The sequence below is a fragment of the Homo sapiens genome, chromosome 12 (genome assembly GCF_000001405.40).
Source record: "Homo sapiens chromosome 12, GRCh38.p14 Primary Assembly".
Classification (NCBI taxonomy): Eukaryota; Metazoa; Chordata; class Mammalia; order Primates; family Hominidae; genus Homo; species Homo sapiens.
The window spans coordinates 112,586,942-112,603,101 of NC_000012.12; the positions used below are offsets into that span (position 1 = coordinate 112,586,942).

Sequence of the window (16,160 nt, forward strand, 5' to 3'; positions counted from 1 at the left end):
GTATAGTGTGAAATTATTTTGGCCACTTGCTAGTTGTCTCTTCTTGGATTAGGAATTTACATTTCTGAGCTACGTAAAATAAGAAGGCTATTTTCCCATCTAATTCATTTTATTGGGTTTTGATGAAGAAGAATACATGTGCTTTATAAACTATAAAATGCAACATAAGTATTGTGAATCATCTCCACTGAGTTTGATTTAACCCTTGTTTCCTTTGAGAAAGTCAAAAATCCCTTCTGATTTGTGGAAATTTGAAACCTCATTGAGTCAACTCTTGGGTCAAAGGGAAATCACACTGAAATTATGAAATATTTAGAGAAAGAGGTAATAAAAATACATATCAGTTTCTTTAGGATATAGCTAGTGCAGTGTGCAAAGGCAAGTTCATAGTCTTAATACGGTTCTTCTGAGAGTGAAAGTATCACATAGTGATGACAATCATGAGCTCTGGAATCAGACTTGGATTGAAATCTGAATTTTGCCACTTCTGAGCTATGTGATCTTGGATAATTGCTTAACCTCTCTAAGCCTTAGAGTTAGTCCAGTTTCATTATCTGGGAAGTGGCAATGGTAGTAACCTACCTGATAGGGTTTTGTGCTGGCTGTTCCCTCTGCTTGAAATGTTTGTCTTGTGTGGTTGGCTCTCTTATTTCATTCAGGTTTTTGTACAACATCACAGCCCCTTATGCTTTATTTTTCTTTATCTCATTTATGACTTCCTGACCTTATATTGTGTATTTATTTTTTGTTTGTTTCCTTCTATAGAGGTCATCTATGTGAGAGTAGAGACTTTGTCTTGGTCATTGCTGAACCTGTAGGAACTAGAGCTGTGTTTAGTGCACGGAAAATTTACGGCACATCTGTTGAATGAATGAGTGGGTGCATGGTGGGGCTGAGCAGAAGGATAAGACAATGGATATAATCACTTAGCAGAGCACCTCACTCACTGTGAGCCCTCGGTGAATGTTGGAGGTTTGTTCTTGGCTTCCACTCCTTCTTACAAGGTGATCTCTTCAAAAATCTAGATTATAATCTTCTTGAAGGAAAGAAAGGTGCCTTTCACAGTTCTGTGTTTCCTGCTCATGCTAGGCACATTGAGGTGGCTGAGTGAATGCTTTCATTGAGAGAACTGAGGTATAGGGAAGTGAGATTAGCACCTCTATGATGTCTATCATTCCTTTTATTGCTGGGCACAATGAAGTTGCTCAATAAATATTTGTTGAGCAAATGAATGAACAAAAACAATCTTTTTATGCACAGCATTAAATGGAGTGGACTGTGGAAATGTAGATGTATTAGTCTGTTCTCATGCTGCTAATAAAGACACACCTGAGACTGAGTTATTTATAAATGAAAGGAGGTTTAATGAACTCACAGTTCCATATGGCTGGAGAGGCCTCACAATCATGGCGGAAGGTGAAAGAGGAGCAAAGGCATGTCTTACATGAAAGAAAGTGCGTGCAGGGGAACAACTGCCATATATGAAACCATCAGATCTTGTGAGACTTATTCACTATCATGAAAATAGCATGGGAAAAAACCTGCTCCCATGATTCAATTATCTCCCACGGGGTCCCTCCCACGACATGTGGGGATTATGGGAGCTACAATTCAAGACGACATTTGGGTGGAGACACAGCCAAATCATATCAATATATAAAGTCAAATTCAAAGAGATGCTCAATGCCTGGGTGCATTATTTAGATCCTGCGAGCCCTCCTGCCTCGCTCTTTCTCTCTCTCCACTGCATTCTCAGCAGCTGCACTTTGCCTTCTCCAAGGCCAGTTAAGCCCGTTTTCTGGGGGTGTGGGGCCTGTGGGTGTAGAACTGAACCCAGATCCCACTCTGCCCTTACCAAGAAGCCAGTGGACATAGGAGGCAGATGGTAACCTGGCAATTAGACCACAGTGTGACATGTGGAGCAGCACAGGGGTACCAGGAACATTCTAAAGGGGCTGTAATTCAGCTGGGGGAATCTGGAAGGCTACTTGGAGGTACAGACACCTAAAGTGAAATCTGAAGGATGGACAGAGATTAAATTAGGGGAGGAGAAAGGAGTGGGATTCTTGGGGGAAGGGGGGAGAGTGTTCCAGGCAGAGGAACAGCATATGCAAAGGCCTTGAGGCAGGAGAAACACAGGGTTTCTGGTATGGATGGAGGAAGAAGACCAGGCTGGTAGAGGGGGCGATTAGTAGAATTATGGAGAGATGAGGCTGGAGGGGGAAGTGGGGGCCAACCCAGGAGGGTTGGTACACCCAAAACTCCTGCCCAGGCCTCACTACTCACTGGCCCACCTTATTCCTGCCTCTTAACTTTGTTCTCAGGCTTCCTCTTACAAACTGTGCTTTCTCTCCTCCTTAGGGCTAATCAAATTCCTGGTGACTTCAGCCCATTTAACTCCCCATCCCTAGTATCTGTCCTCAACTCTGCTCCTGCAACAAATAAAAACAACCCTTACTCTCTCAGTTCCAACCACCATGGCCTCCTTGCTGTTCCTTGAACATCTCTAAGAACATGTCCTGCCTCAGGACCTTTGCACTGGCTGTTCCCTCAGCCTGGAATGCTCTTCCCTGGGAGATTTGCCTGGCTCTCCCATTTCCTTCAATTCTCAACATACATGACCCCTCCCCTGACCAACCTGTTTAACATTACACCTCCTCTCACTTTCTAGCCATCTCTGGCTTGCGTTATTTCTTTTTAATCACAACAATGAACACTTTATAAATCCATTTGTTCATTCGTCTCTTGTCTGTCTCCCCTGCCCCTGCACCATTTGCTCCATGAGGGCAGGGACCCTGTCTGTATCCCTGGTAAGTGGAACACAGAAGATGCATAATAAACATTTGTGGAATGAAAAATAGTAAATTGTGGTGGCTCACGCCTGTAATCCCAGCACTTTGAGAAGCTGAGGTGGGCGGATCACTTGAGGTCAGGAGTTCAAGACCAGCTTGGCCAACGTAGTGAAATTCTATCTCTACTAAAAATATAAAAATTATCTGGGCGTGATAGTGCACACCTGTAATCCCAGCTACTTGGGAGGCTGAGGCAGGAGGATCGCTTGAACCCAGGATGGGGAGGTTGCAGTGAGCTGAGATCATGCCACTGTACTCCAGCCTGGGTGACAGAGCAAGACTCCATCTCAAAAAAAAAAAAAAAGTAAAGGAAAAATAATAATAGGGCCAGGCTCTGGACTGCTTGCATCATAGACTTTAACTGATTTCATTTACATGACACTGATTTCTTCTTCTATGATTTTTACCCATTAGTGCTGAGAAAAGAGGCTCAGAGAGGACAACGGATTCGCCTAGGGTCACAGAGCCAGTGAGTGGCACAGCTGGAGTGGCATTTCAGTGTGGCTGTTTCCACTGAGCTCTTGCAGCCACCAGCCTCGGAGACCACCCTGCTGAATGAGGGTTCCAGTCTCGACTCAATCACCTTTCACCCAGTGACCTTGAGCAGGTCCTTTCTCTCTGGTGTTAGAATCCCATAAGCCATAGAATACCAGAAAGCCTGTGTTGTTTCTGTAACCCACAAAGATAGCACAGCCCCTCCTCATTCCATGAGTCCCCCAGTGGGGTGGACATCAGGGCTCAGTGTCATGGAAATGGCTCATGGGGTGACTCAGATTTGGCTCAGGCTCAGGGCTGCATTGTTTTAGAGATGAAACAGAGCACCTTAGGACCGCTGGATGAATTTGAATGGCAGTTATATTTTGTTCAACCTAAAGTGTGTTTGAAATAATTTTATTTAATTTCTATGTTTAAAAATTGAGAAGTCTCATGTAAAATTCCAGATTTCCACTTCTCTTAAAATCTAAAACTAATCCCAGGTAGCAACACTTAGGTGATACTGAGGAGCACCTTTAAAAAAAATTAGTTAATTAAGAGATGCGGTCTCACTCTGTTGCCCAGGCTGGACTGCAATCATAGCTCAACCTCGAAACCTTAGGTTCAAGTGATCTTCCTGCCTCAGCCTCCCGAGTAGTTGGAAATACAGGCACGTGCCACCACACCCAGCTAATTTTAAAAAAGTGTTTTTTAGCTTTTGGGTTTTTTTGGTAGAGATGGAGTCTCACTATATTGCCTAGACTGGTCTTGCACTCCTGGCCTCAAGGGATCCTCCCACCTCAGCCTCCTAAGTAGCTGGTACCACAGGTGTATGCCACCACACCCAGATAATTAATTTTTGAAAATAGAGATGGGGTCTTGCTGTGTTGCCCAGGCTGGCGTCAAACTCCTGGGCTCAATGATCCTCCCACCTCAGCCTCCTGAGTAGCTGGGACCACAGGTGTGTGCCACCACACCCAGATAATTAAAAAAAATTTTTAGGAGATAGGATTTTACTATGTTACCCAGGCTGGTCTTGATCTCCTGGCCTCAAGCGATCCTCCCACCTCAGCCTCTCAAAGTGCTGGGATTGCAAGTGTGTGTGAGCCACTGCACTGGCCCTGCAGAGCGCCATTCTATGGGCATGTGCCTCCTTGTTTGCTCCCTGTCCCATGAGGTCACTTCTCTCATTTAGTGGTCCCTGTAGCCATTTGAGTTGGAGACCTCTGGTGAGTTTTATTTTATTTGAACTGAACTTCAGTACCAGTTAAGCACAGGCTGTGACGTGCTGAACTTTTCACTTTCAGAATGGCGTCCAGTAAATCAATCCTGGGTATGATGCCATGCCGGGCTGTTCTTACAGATGCTATGGGAATTGTGTGGCTCCATTTCTGCACTCTGCATTGTTTTGGTGATTTGTGCTCGGAAATGAAATCACTGCTTGGATACTGCTAGACTGCAGGGACAGATAACTCAGTAGAACTCCTCACCTGCCTTTGAGGCAGTCTGTGATGTATTGTCATTTATTTCTTTTCATCTGTGGTTTTATGTTTGTGTCTGCTACATTCTGAAGTCTTAATTCAGAAGCTCGAGCCAGGTCATCCAGTTAAAAACTTCCTGGCAATCGTCCCTCAGTATCCCCGGGGTTGGTTCTAGGACCCCCTTGGATACCAAAACCTGTGGGTTCTCAAGTCGCTGACATAGAATGGTGTAGTATTCGCATGTAACCTATGCATGTCCTCTTTGCATACTTTAAATCACTTCGAGATTATTTAAATACCTAATACAATGTAAATGCTATGTAAATAGTTGTTATACTGTATTGTTGGTTGGGCATAGTGGCTCACACCTGTAATCCTAGCACTTTGGGAGGCTGAGGTGGGTGCATCCCTTGAGGCCAGGAGTTCAAGACCAGCCTGGGTAACATGGCAAAACCCTGCCTCTACCAAAAATACAAAAATTAGCCAGTCTCATAACCTGGTCTCAGAATAAATAAACAAATAGATTAAAATTAAAATAAAATAGTTGTTATACTGTATTGTTTTAAAATAGTTATTATTATTATTATTTTTTGAGATGGAGTGTCTGTCACCCAGGCTGGAGTGCAGTGGTGTGATCTTGTTTCACTGCAACTTCTGCCTCCCGGGTTCAAGCGGCTCTTCTGCCTCAGCTTCCCAAGTAGCTGGGATTACGGGCACACGCCACCATGCCTGGTTAATTTTTGTATTTTTAGTAGAGATGGGGTTTCACCATGTCAGCCAGGCTGTTCTCGAACTCCTGACCTCACGTGATCTGCCCGCCTTGGCCTTCCAAAGTGCTGGGATTATAGGCATGAGCCACTGTCCCTGGCTGCTGTATTAATTTTTATTTTGGAAAATTTTCGATCTGTGGTTGGTTGAATCCGTGGATGCAGAACCTGCAGATACTGATGGCCGACTGTATATCCTGTTTGTGTGCTGACTTGAGTGTGTGTCTCCTCTGTGGCAGAGACAATAATGTTCCTCAGGTGGTCCCGGCACTTCTCCATTCCCAGACCCTTGTAGTTAAGCGGGGCCACACGACTTATTCCTGTCAATGGGCTATGAGCAGAAGGGGCATACATCACCCCCAGGCCTAAGCCTGGGAAAGCCTGTGTGAGTTTTCTGTGTTCTTTTTTCTGCTGTATGGAGTCTGAAGGCCTCATGGTGAAAATGTGGAATCAGGGTATCATTTGAACTTGGTGTTATGGTCTGAACATTATGTCTCCCTAACTTTATATGTTGAAACTCCAGCCCCAACATTATGTGAGGGGATGGGGCTTTGGGAGATGATTAGGACCTGAGAGTGGTGCCCTTATGAATGGGATTAGTGCCCTAATAAGAAGAGACACCAGAGAGCTTGCTGCCTCTCTCTCTCTGCTCATGTGAGGATACAACGAGAAGACAGTCATCTGTAAACCAGAAAGGGGATGCTCACCGGAACCCAATCTGCTGGTACCTTGATTGTGAACTTCTCAGCCTCCAGAATTGTGAGAAACAAATGTTTGCTGTTTGAGCTGCCCAAATTTATGCTAATTTATTATAGCTGCCAGAGCTGATTAAAACACCCGGATTTCTGAGTTACTAGACCTGCAGCAGACTCTATGAGGGAGGAGTAAACTTTTGTTGTGTTAAGCTGGTGGGATTTTGGTGTGTTTGTTACACAGCAGAACCTAGTCCATCCTGACCGATACATTCTCTATTAGAATTGATGAGTAGGAACTGCACATCCATGTCTAGAAAAGCTCTTGACAGCCAGTGCTCAAGAAATATTACAGAATGAATAAAAGAACAATTATGGTTTGTGTTATTAGACTCTACATATACCTACTCTTTTTCTCATAGATGGTGCGTTAGATTGGAAGGCCACCTTCCTGTGAAGGAAGGGAGAACCAACTCTTATTGAGTGCTGTCTATTGTGCTAATTATTATCCACATCTAAAGATAAAATGAGTTCCAGGGAGATTAGGCAGTTATCCTGGGGTTATAGAGCTATCTAAGAGTGGTTCTGCTAGAATGACTCCTACCCATCTTTTCAGTTGTCTATAGGTCTTGACTTTAATGCCACCTCCTCAGGGAAGCCTTCCTTGATCACTAGACTGGATTAGTTGTCACTGTTATATGCTCCCCTAACTCCTGGTACTTCCCCCATATAACACTTACTTCCCTTCAGATTTTGAGTGCTCTGAGAGTAGATCCTGTGTCTGTTTTGCTCAATGTGGTATATTCAGCACCTAGTATAGTACCTGGTACATAGTAAATGCTCAATATATGTTTGTTGGTTGAATAAAGACAGTCAGGAAACTTAGACTTTTGTTTCGGTACTGCCTCTAATCAGTTGTGTTATTCTGGACCAATAGTTTTATCTCTCTGACTTCTAGTATTCTCATTTGTACAAAAAGGGTGCTTGATTAAATTTGTTCTTTTTGGCTCTAGCATTCCACAATTATTTCATTCACAAACTACCCTCTCATTCCTTCTCTGGGCCTACTTTTGGGTCACCTTCTGGCCTCTTATTCCGTCTATATTCCTGGAATAATTGACAGAATTGGGAATTGAAGCCAGGCAGTCTAACTACAGAGTCCATAATTTTAACTGCTCATTCCACCCACATACCCACCCACCCATCTCTGTTTATGCAGTCATCTTTCTTCCATCCATTCACACAATCATCCATCCATCCTTCCATCTATCCATCTCATCATCTATCTAATAATCCCTCCCTCCATTTATTCATTCGAGTATCTTCTGTCCAAATATCCATCCATTTTTCAGCAAATACTTTTGAAGTGAGTATTCCATGCTAGGACCTGTGCTGGGGTCCTTGGGTTCCAGCAAAAACAAAACAGATTCTGTTCCTGCCCTCGTGGAGCTCTCAGTCTAATTAGTTCTGGGGAATTTCTCTTTAGTTGCTATTGATGTGGGAGGTTGAAATAATGTCCAATGTGTGAGCTGGAGCTCTTTGGTTGATTTTATTGTATTGGTTTTTGTATCCTCATGGATAATATAATGCTACTTTGTTATTATTGTTATGCATAAAGGTATTGATTAATTAATTCACCAATGTTCATTGAGCACTCGCTATATTCCAGGCATTGTGTTCGATGCATGCAAGTCCCAACTTTTCCACAACTCTAGAGAGCATTACTCACATGGTATTCTATTTGATTCTGGAGTTGCACAGCATAGTGGAAACAGGCATTTGTCACTCTTATGAAGGAGTCCACAGCCTAGCATAGTAATTAAGAGCTTGGGCTCTGGGTCTGGACAGCCTGGTCTTGAGTCCCATTTCCACACTTACTGGCTATGTAATTTTGTCAAATCACTTCACCTCTCTGTGCTTCCATTTTTCTCACCTGTAAAATAAGGATAATAACTGCTAAATTCAGTGAGTTTTTACATGGCTATGAGTTAATTCATGAAAAAGCTCTCAGAATAGTACTTAGCACCTAGTAAATGCTCAATAAAAAGATCGATGAGCAGCTTAGATATATCTCTTACTTGGTGGCTTTCTTTAATGGTTTTTCAGATGGGGAAACTGAGTCAAGAGCATAACCTAGCCTAACCTGACATGATAAGCTAAAGCCAGAGCCTATGATAATCAATTAGTGACTATTTACTGATCCAGAGGGTATGTAATCATGCAGCAAAATATTTCCCTTAGCTGAGATACTCCATTTTTGAATGTTTGACTACTGACAACTTCCAAGCCCTCTCCCTCCTCCTTCCCCTTTTGCCTCATATCTGGATAAGCCAATAAGAAATCCTGTGCACTACCTTTTTTGGCATTGGTGGAGAAGTTCACCCACCCACGCAGGACCGTCATTCAACCCCACCCCCCTAACCACAATAAAAACCAAAGCCATTGCCACTCCCTTTGCTCAAGCCATTCCAGACCAGCTTGGGTGTTTTCCCTGCTCTTCTCAGAAAGAAACATTATGTGAGTTAATGATTATTTCCATACTCTTAGTGCATATGTGGCATCATCATTCTTGACATCCAAGCCAATTTTGGGTAGAGTATTGATTTCCGTCCTCCCTGGGGGCAACCACACGATACCAATGCTAACTGAGAATGAAATTTGGAAGAAAAATGGAAGTTCTACTTGGCCTGAAAAAAATGACCCAGCTCCTATGCTGCAGCAATTCCATTTCTCTGACACTACTGGAGAGACTACATAGACATGTGTGAAGGGAACAGCTCCATAGACCATGACACATCTGGTATGGGCTACTCAGCCACCATTAAAACAGTTATGTAGGTTGGTATGTGTGGACGAAGGGTGGGTTCTCAAAACATCATTGAGTGAGAAAAGCAAGATAGATAATTTGTTAAATATGTTCATGGTCTCTTCATTTTTTTGTTTCTTATTTTTGAGACAAGACCTCACTCTCTTGCCCAGGCTGGAGTGCAGTGGTATGATCATGGCTCACTGCAGCCTTGAATTCCTGGACTCAAGTGACCCTCCTACCTTAGCCTCCTGAGTAGCTGGGACCACAGGCATGTGCCACAATGACTGGCTAACTTTTAAAGTTTTTGTCGAGATTGGGTCTCATGATGTTGCCTAGGTCATATGGTCTCTTTACAATTAACTTTTGTGTATGGTGTAAGGTAGGGAGTCAAAGTTTTGGTTTGTATTAGTATCCACATGGATATCCAATTGATCCAGCACCATTTATTCAAACAACCATTATTTTCCCCTTCCTGTGCTCTCAAACTGCAGTAATGCCTTCATTGTAAATCGGGTGACTGGATGTGTGTGGCTCCACTTCAGGACTTAGTATTGTTCTATCAGTCTTTTGTCTATTATTTTGTTAATAGCGCCATATTTTTAATAACTATAGCTTTGAGTAAGACTTGAAATCTGATAGTTTAAGTTTTCCACCCTTCTTCTATATTGCTTGATTTTTGTTAGGTTGTTTGCATATCTATATAAATTTTAGAATCAGCTAATAAATTTCAATAAAAGTAGACCCTAGATTTTTATTTGGATTCTAGTGAATCCGTAAACCATTTGGGGGACAATTAAAATCATAATATTAAATCTTCCAATCCATGGTCACGGGACATTTCTCCATTTATGTAAGTTTTCTTTAACTCCTTTTTGTAATGTTTGTTTTTGTCAGTGTAGAGGTCTTGCTCGTCTTTTGTTAAATTTATTCATAGGTTAAAAACATTTTTGGATTCTGTGGTAAATGGCATTGCATTTTACATTTCCTTTTTTCTACTGTTTGTTGCTAGTGCAGTATACCAACAGAAGGAAGACACATTAACCTTCTCCCACCCAAACTTTTTCCATGACTTAATATATCTGCATAAAATCATAGGAAAAAGCTTGGAACTGTACACACCAAACTGACACAGTGGTTATTTTTGGGGAGGAGGAGAGGGAACTGTGATTGTTGAGAAAAGACGGTGTTCAAGAGGGAATTGATCTTTATCTGTCCCGTTTTAATTCTTATAAAAAAGGGAATGTTTCAATGTATTATTTGTGTAGTTAAAAATCTATTAAAAGAGGCCAGTTGCATTGGCTGATGCTTATAATCCCAGCATTTTGGGGGGCTGAGGCAGGCAGCTCACTTGAGCCCAGGAGTTTAAGACCAGCCCGGGCAACATGGTAAAACCCCACCTCTACTAAAAATGCAAAAAAATTAGCCAGGCATAGTGGTGTGTGCCTGTAGCCCCAAGGCTGGGAGTACAGCCTTGGGAGGCTGAGGTGGGATGATCACCTGCGTCTGGGAGGTTGTGGCTAAAGTGAGATGTGGTTGTGCCTTGGCGATGGGAGTGAGACCCTGTTTCAAAAAAACAAACAAAAATTCTGTTAAAAGAAAAAAGTAAATGACCTATCCCCAATCCTGGCTGGGAGTATGTATGTGATTGATGACTTTGGGGAGCCCAGAAACTTCCACTTGTGTCAGGAAGGTGCATGAAACAAGTTTGTAATTAAAAGCATGAACATCTGGTTGCCCTCTGAAGAGAGACTGTTAACTGAGACTCTATAGAAGTCTCATAGTCTCTATAGAAGTCTCATATAGAAGGAGCATAGACTGGTCAGCTTATGTGTCCAGAACTGTCCAGAAAAGAGGATTCCTAGACCTATAGGCAAGAGAAGCTGACTCATGCATCAGGCAAATCCCTAGAATGGAGCGACCCAACATTATGATTGTCCAATTGACTGTGATTCCAGGACTACAAACAACTTCTGTAGGTCGTTTAGGCTGGGTTCTCCTAGAAGCAGACCCCAAGACAAGGATTTTGAGTGCAAGAGTTTATTTGGTGGGTAATTCCATGAAGCACTAGTAGGGCACCACAGTTGCTGAGGGCAACCGTGCTCAATCCTGCAGACGCCTTCTGGGAGGCTGGGTTGAACATACTGCCATGTCATGCATGGTGTGCAAAGTTGTGTGCATGAGGAAGTATTCTTCATTCACATCAGTCATCCATCAGTTGAGGAAAGCTACAAGGAGTGTTCTCTCATTGACACTTCTGACCTTCTCTATCCACTGACTTAGCATGCTTGGGAAGCCAGAGAACAGACGTTGTCAATTCAGTGTGCAAAGAAAGGTGTTAGGGACATCAGTAGTGTGGGCTATAGCTTCCTGAATATATTCGGAATAGGAAGTAATGTGCTTAGTGAAGAAGGTGAGTTTTTGTCCCCCTGAATGATACTGGTTTTCAATGGAATCAATAAATCAGCCATCTGATTTATACATCATACTCTTATGAGTTTGGCTGGTCTGAGTCTAGACAGACCACCGCCTTTTGAGAGTACTTGGTAAAATTGAATTCCTTAGACTGTAAAACCCAAGAAATCAAGTGTGGAGACTGAAAAGTGAAAAATTGCAGCAGGCAGGGGTCATGAATAAGTGAAGTGGGAGGATGAGGGAGATAATGCACACAAAGTACTCAGCACAGCACCTGGCATGTCGTAAGTGCTTAATAAAAGTTACCAATAGCAGCAGCAGCAGCAGCAACTACTATTTCTGGGGACAGCTTTAAGAAGGGTGTGGAATCTAAGCATAACTCATTGAAAGGGTGCCAAAAAATTTAGGGAACTAGCCAGGAAGAGGTTTAAAACAAAAGTCTCCTTGCCTAATACTGGCCTCTTGTATAGACCTTGTAATTAGGATGACAGTCATTTTCTATTAATTGCAGACTATGATTTTTTTAGGTGTGAGGTTAATTGGTAATATGGGTGTGTAACATGTTCCCCTCAGATATCTTAGACACCAGTAATTAACCTCTTTGTTCCGCAGTGCAGCCATTAATCATTTGTCTGCTAGGCATTCTGCTGTCAGCATCTTGCCACACTGCCTGCTGCATAGGCTTTGACATATTATCAGGACCAACATGGAAGAATAGAAAAATGAGTTGTAGTGTGTGTGTAGCAAGACCAAGTTAACTTTCGATTCATGTGGCCAAGATGGCAGCTGGTTTATCCATGCAGCACCACGAGGCTCAGTGCTGGGTGCTTATAAGGCTTATGAGGGCCTGTGGGGATGTTTGCATCCTAGAAAGAAGTTGTAGCCTCTGAAATAGAAGAAGAAAACCATAAAACTGAATTTAAATTAATACATGTTTCATCTCATGCCTATACAATGCAACATTGCATCAACTACTCAATGGTGACTCAACCCCCAGTTCTCTCTATATTTTATGTGGTTACATTTTAATATTTTTATAAATTGAGGTGAGAACCTCTACTGTCAAGTGTCCAGGGTTTGTATTGACCCTGCCCTGGGCACAGGCTACTGATTGCAATTTGATTTGTAGGAATTTGGTTTATTCAGAAGGCCCCGAATAAATGGGTTAGTTATAGCTTGGAATATTTTTCAACTTGCTCACCTGATTTTTTGGATGTTCTTTGGGACTTAAAAATTTTAACTGTAAAAGAAAATGTATGCTTGTTGAAATAGAATAAATACAACCATGTAGAAGGCAAAGTGTTAGTGGTATCCCACCACCCTTCCCATCTCTAACTGATATTAAAAAAAAGTTAAATGCAGTGTTTCTTAAACTTTCTTAGGGGTTGGAGAGACCTGGCACATAGCTGTCCCGATTTTGCCCCCTGCATAGTGGTTAATAGGCACATCATTTCTGCCACTAACTATCCCAGTGACTTCAGATAAGTGGCTTCACCCTCTCTCAGCCTCAGCCTTCTGGAGTGCATCACGGGATGATAACAGTGTCTGCCTCCGGAGTTGCTGTGAGGACTGAGTGAGTAACTATGCATAGAGAATTCAGCTTTGTACCCGGTACAATTTCTATGCTCAATAAGGGCATTATTTCCTAACCCTGAACCCTGAGCCTGGTGAAAAGAGATTGCATAACATATATTCCTGAGTCACAGTGGTGCAATTTTCCAGTGTTTGCAGATTTAGGGCACTCCCTTGGGGTATAATTAGAGTCAGATTTTGGAAAAGGTTGATCCACTCAGTCATCTGTTTTCTTCTTCTTAATTTAAATACAGGGCATACTGCAAGGTGCTCTCCCCAGGTTGTGCTGAATAATTAATGCCAGCTCTGATAATCCTGCCTGACTTAAAAATGGTTCATTATTACCGATAACAACCATGACAATTTACTGAGAGCTCACTGCCTGCCCTAAGTCCTTTTTCTGTCATAAGGTGTGAGGTTAAGCAGTTGGGATTGTGAGACAGAGATCTGAGTTCCATCCTACTCTGGTCTCCTCCAAGCAGTATGTCTTCAGTCAAATAACTTCCTCTCTCTCTGAGCCACTGTTTCCTCAACCGTAAAATGGGACACTATTAGCTACTCACTGCTCTGTCTGAGACCACCTTGGCCTGGACTTCATTGTCCATATCACTATCAGCATTTTGGTCAAAACCATTCAACAAGTCTCTAGGAAGTTCCAAACTTTCCCACGTCTTCCTTCTTTTTTTGAACCCTCTGAACTGTTCCAACCTCTGCCTGTTGCCCAGTTCCAAAGTCATTTCCACATTTTGGGCTATATTTACAGCAGTGTCCCACTACCTCAGTACCAATTTACTATATTAGTCCGTCCTCATGCTGCTAATAAAGACATACCCAAGACTTGATAATTTATAAAGAAAAGAGGTTTAATTGACTCACAGTTCCACATGGCTGGGGAGGCCTCAGGAAACTTACAATCATGGTGGAAGTCACCTCTTCACAGGACGGCAGGAGAGAGAATGCATGCAAGCAGGGGAAATGCCAGATGCTTATAAAACCATTAGATCTCATGAGAGGCACTCATTATCACGAGAACAACATGGGGGGAACCGCCCCCATGATTCAATTACCTCCACCTGGTCCTGCCCTTGACACGTGGGGATTACCAGGATTATAATTCAAGGTGAGATTTGGGTGGGGACACAGAGCCAAATCGTATCAGTAGCTGTGTTGAGGATTAAATGCACAATTAATGCAAAACTCCTAGCCTGAAGTTGGCAGGCTGCAAGCACTTGATAAATGTTAACTTTTATTATTATCTTCATGTTCTTTAACCCTTACAGCAGTCCTTTGGGGTAAATAGGAAAAATGTTTGGCTCATTTCCTAGGACATACCTCTGAAAAAACAGGAGCCTTCAACAGTTAATTCTATTTCCTTTTATAATCTTTTGCACAGTGTGTTTGGGAATGGGGATGTAAATTTGCCCTATCAACAGGAAAGTGGATTTGTACATTATATTCATGCCACTGAAAGTGAGTGAGCCAGGGCTCTGTGAATCAGCGTGGGTGAATCCCCCAAAAAACGTGCCAAGAAAATAAAATCAAATTGCACAAAAAAGTACATATAGACTATTTTTTAACATAAAGTTTAAAAATATGCACAGCAACTACATAAAGTTAGGGATAAACATTATACAAGTAGATTATAAATAGACTGGGCATAGTGGCTCATGCCTGTAATCCCAGCACTTTGGGAGGCCGAGGTGGGCGGATCACTTGAGCACAGGAGTTCACTACCAGCCTGGGCAACATGGCAAAACCACGTCTCTATAAAAAACAAAAAAATTAGCCAGGTGTAGTGGCACACACCTGTGTAGACTGTGGTCCCAGCTTCTTGGGAGGCTGAGGTAGGAGGATTGCTTGAGCCTGGGAGGTCCAGGCTGCAGTGAGCTGTGATCATGCCACTGCACTTCAGCCTGGGTGACAGAGCGAGACTTTGTCTCCAAAAAATAAACAAACCAGCCAAATAGGTAATAAAAGTATAAAAACAGCATGAGGCTGGAGTAACACCTACTTCAGAATAGAGGCTCCCTCTGCAGAGGCAGAGGTGGGTATTGCTGAGGCGGGGCACACAAGAGCCTTCAGATAGACTGGGGATGTTTACTTCTTAATCTGCTCCTGGGGCCATTTATTCTTCTTCACGCCTTTCAAAATATGTCTCAAGTAGGTAATAGTAATTTAAAAACTTGCAACTCAGCCATTGGGAGGGTTTTGTTGGCCTCTTTAACCAAGTCCTTTAACCTTCTTTAATCCCCATTCCTTCCACTCCTTCATGGTGCCTTTCTAACAAAGCCCTCTGCCTTTCTAACAAAGCCCCCTCTAAGAAAGCCTGCCGCCCAGGCTCAAAATGGAGCTTGCTGGCCGCCAGGATCTCAATTTGCATGTTAAAGGAGTACCTGCTTTATCCATCTGCGTTTTAATTACAGTTCACCTCCCTGGCTTACCATCCAAACATTCCCAGACACTTGATGACTGTTTTTGGGGGAGGAAGCTAGAGGAAGGAGTGTTCTCATCACTGCAGAAAGGAGGCCAAACTTAGTAGGGGCAGGGCTAAGACAAGTCATGGTATGTGTCAAGGCTCCCCTACCCCAATCCAAACATATTTATAAATGTGAAGTTTTATTAAAATGAATAGTGTAAAATTAACCAGGCGTGGTGGTGCATGCCTGTAATCCCAGCTACTCAGGAGGCTGAAGCGGGAGGATTGCTTGAGCCCAGAAATTTCGAGGCTGCAGTGAGTTGTGATCACACCACTGCACTCCAGCCTGGGCGTCACACAATGGGACGCTATTAAAAGAGAGAAAAAAAAAGAGTAGGAGAAAGAGAGTAGCAGAAAGGAAATATCTTTTCTTTCCATCTTAGGTTCATGGCTGGGGCTCCTACAGCAAAAGACAGATTAACAAGAGAAAAAAATATAAATGTATTTAAGTTTTAAGTGATATGGGAGCTATTGGAAAGATAAAGACCCAAAGAAACAGGGAAATCTGTGTATTTTTCCTGTGATGAGGGTGTGATGGGAAAGTAGATAGTCATGGAGAAGTATGATTGGACAAAAGGGGTATGATCTAATGGTAATAAACTGGGGGAACTTAACAAGGCCTGTT

The 16,160-nt window shown here is 42.7% G+C and overlaps 1 protein-coding gene across 1 annotated transcript in view, besides 1 other annotated feature; it reads left to right on the plus strand.

The window, feature by feature from the left end:
* The window catches only part of RPH3A (rabphilin 3A), a 323,646-nt gene that overhangs the window by 11,706 nt on the left and 295,780 nt on the right, over positions 1 to 16,160 (plus strand). The window lies entirely within an intron of this gene.
* Positions 15,240 to 15,968: an enhancer, noted in NCBI's record as "OCT4-NANOG-H3K27ac hESC enhancer chr12:113039985-113040713 (GRCh37/hg19 assembly coordinates)". NCBI's record gives its function as "activates a minimal SCP1, AML or CMV promoter by ChIP-STARR-seq in primed H9 embryonic stem cells {active_cell/tissue: H9 hESC(primed)}" and the evidence as "EXISTENCE:reporter gene assay evidence [ECO:0000049][PMID:30033119]".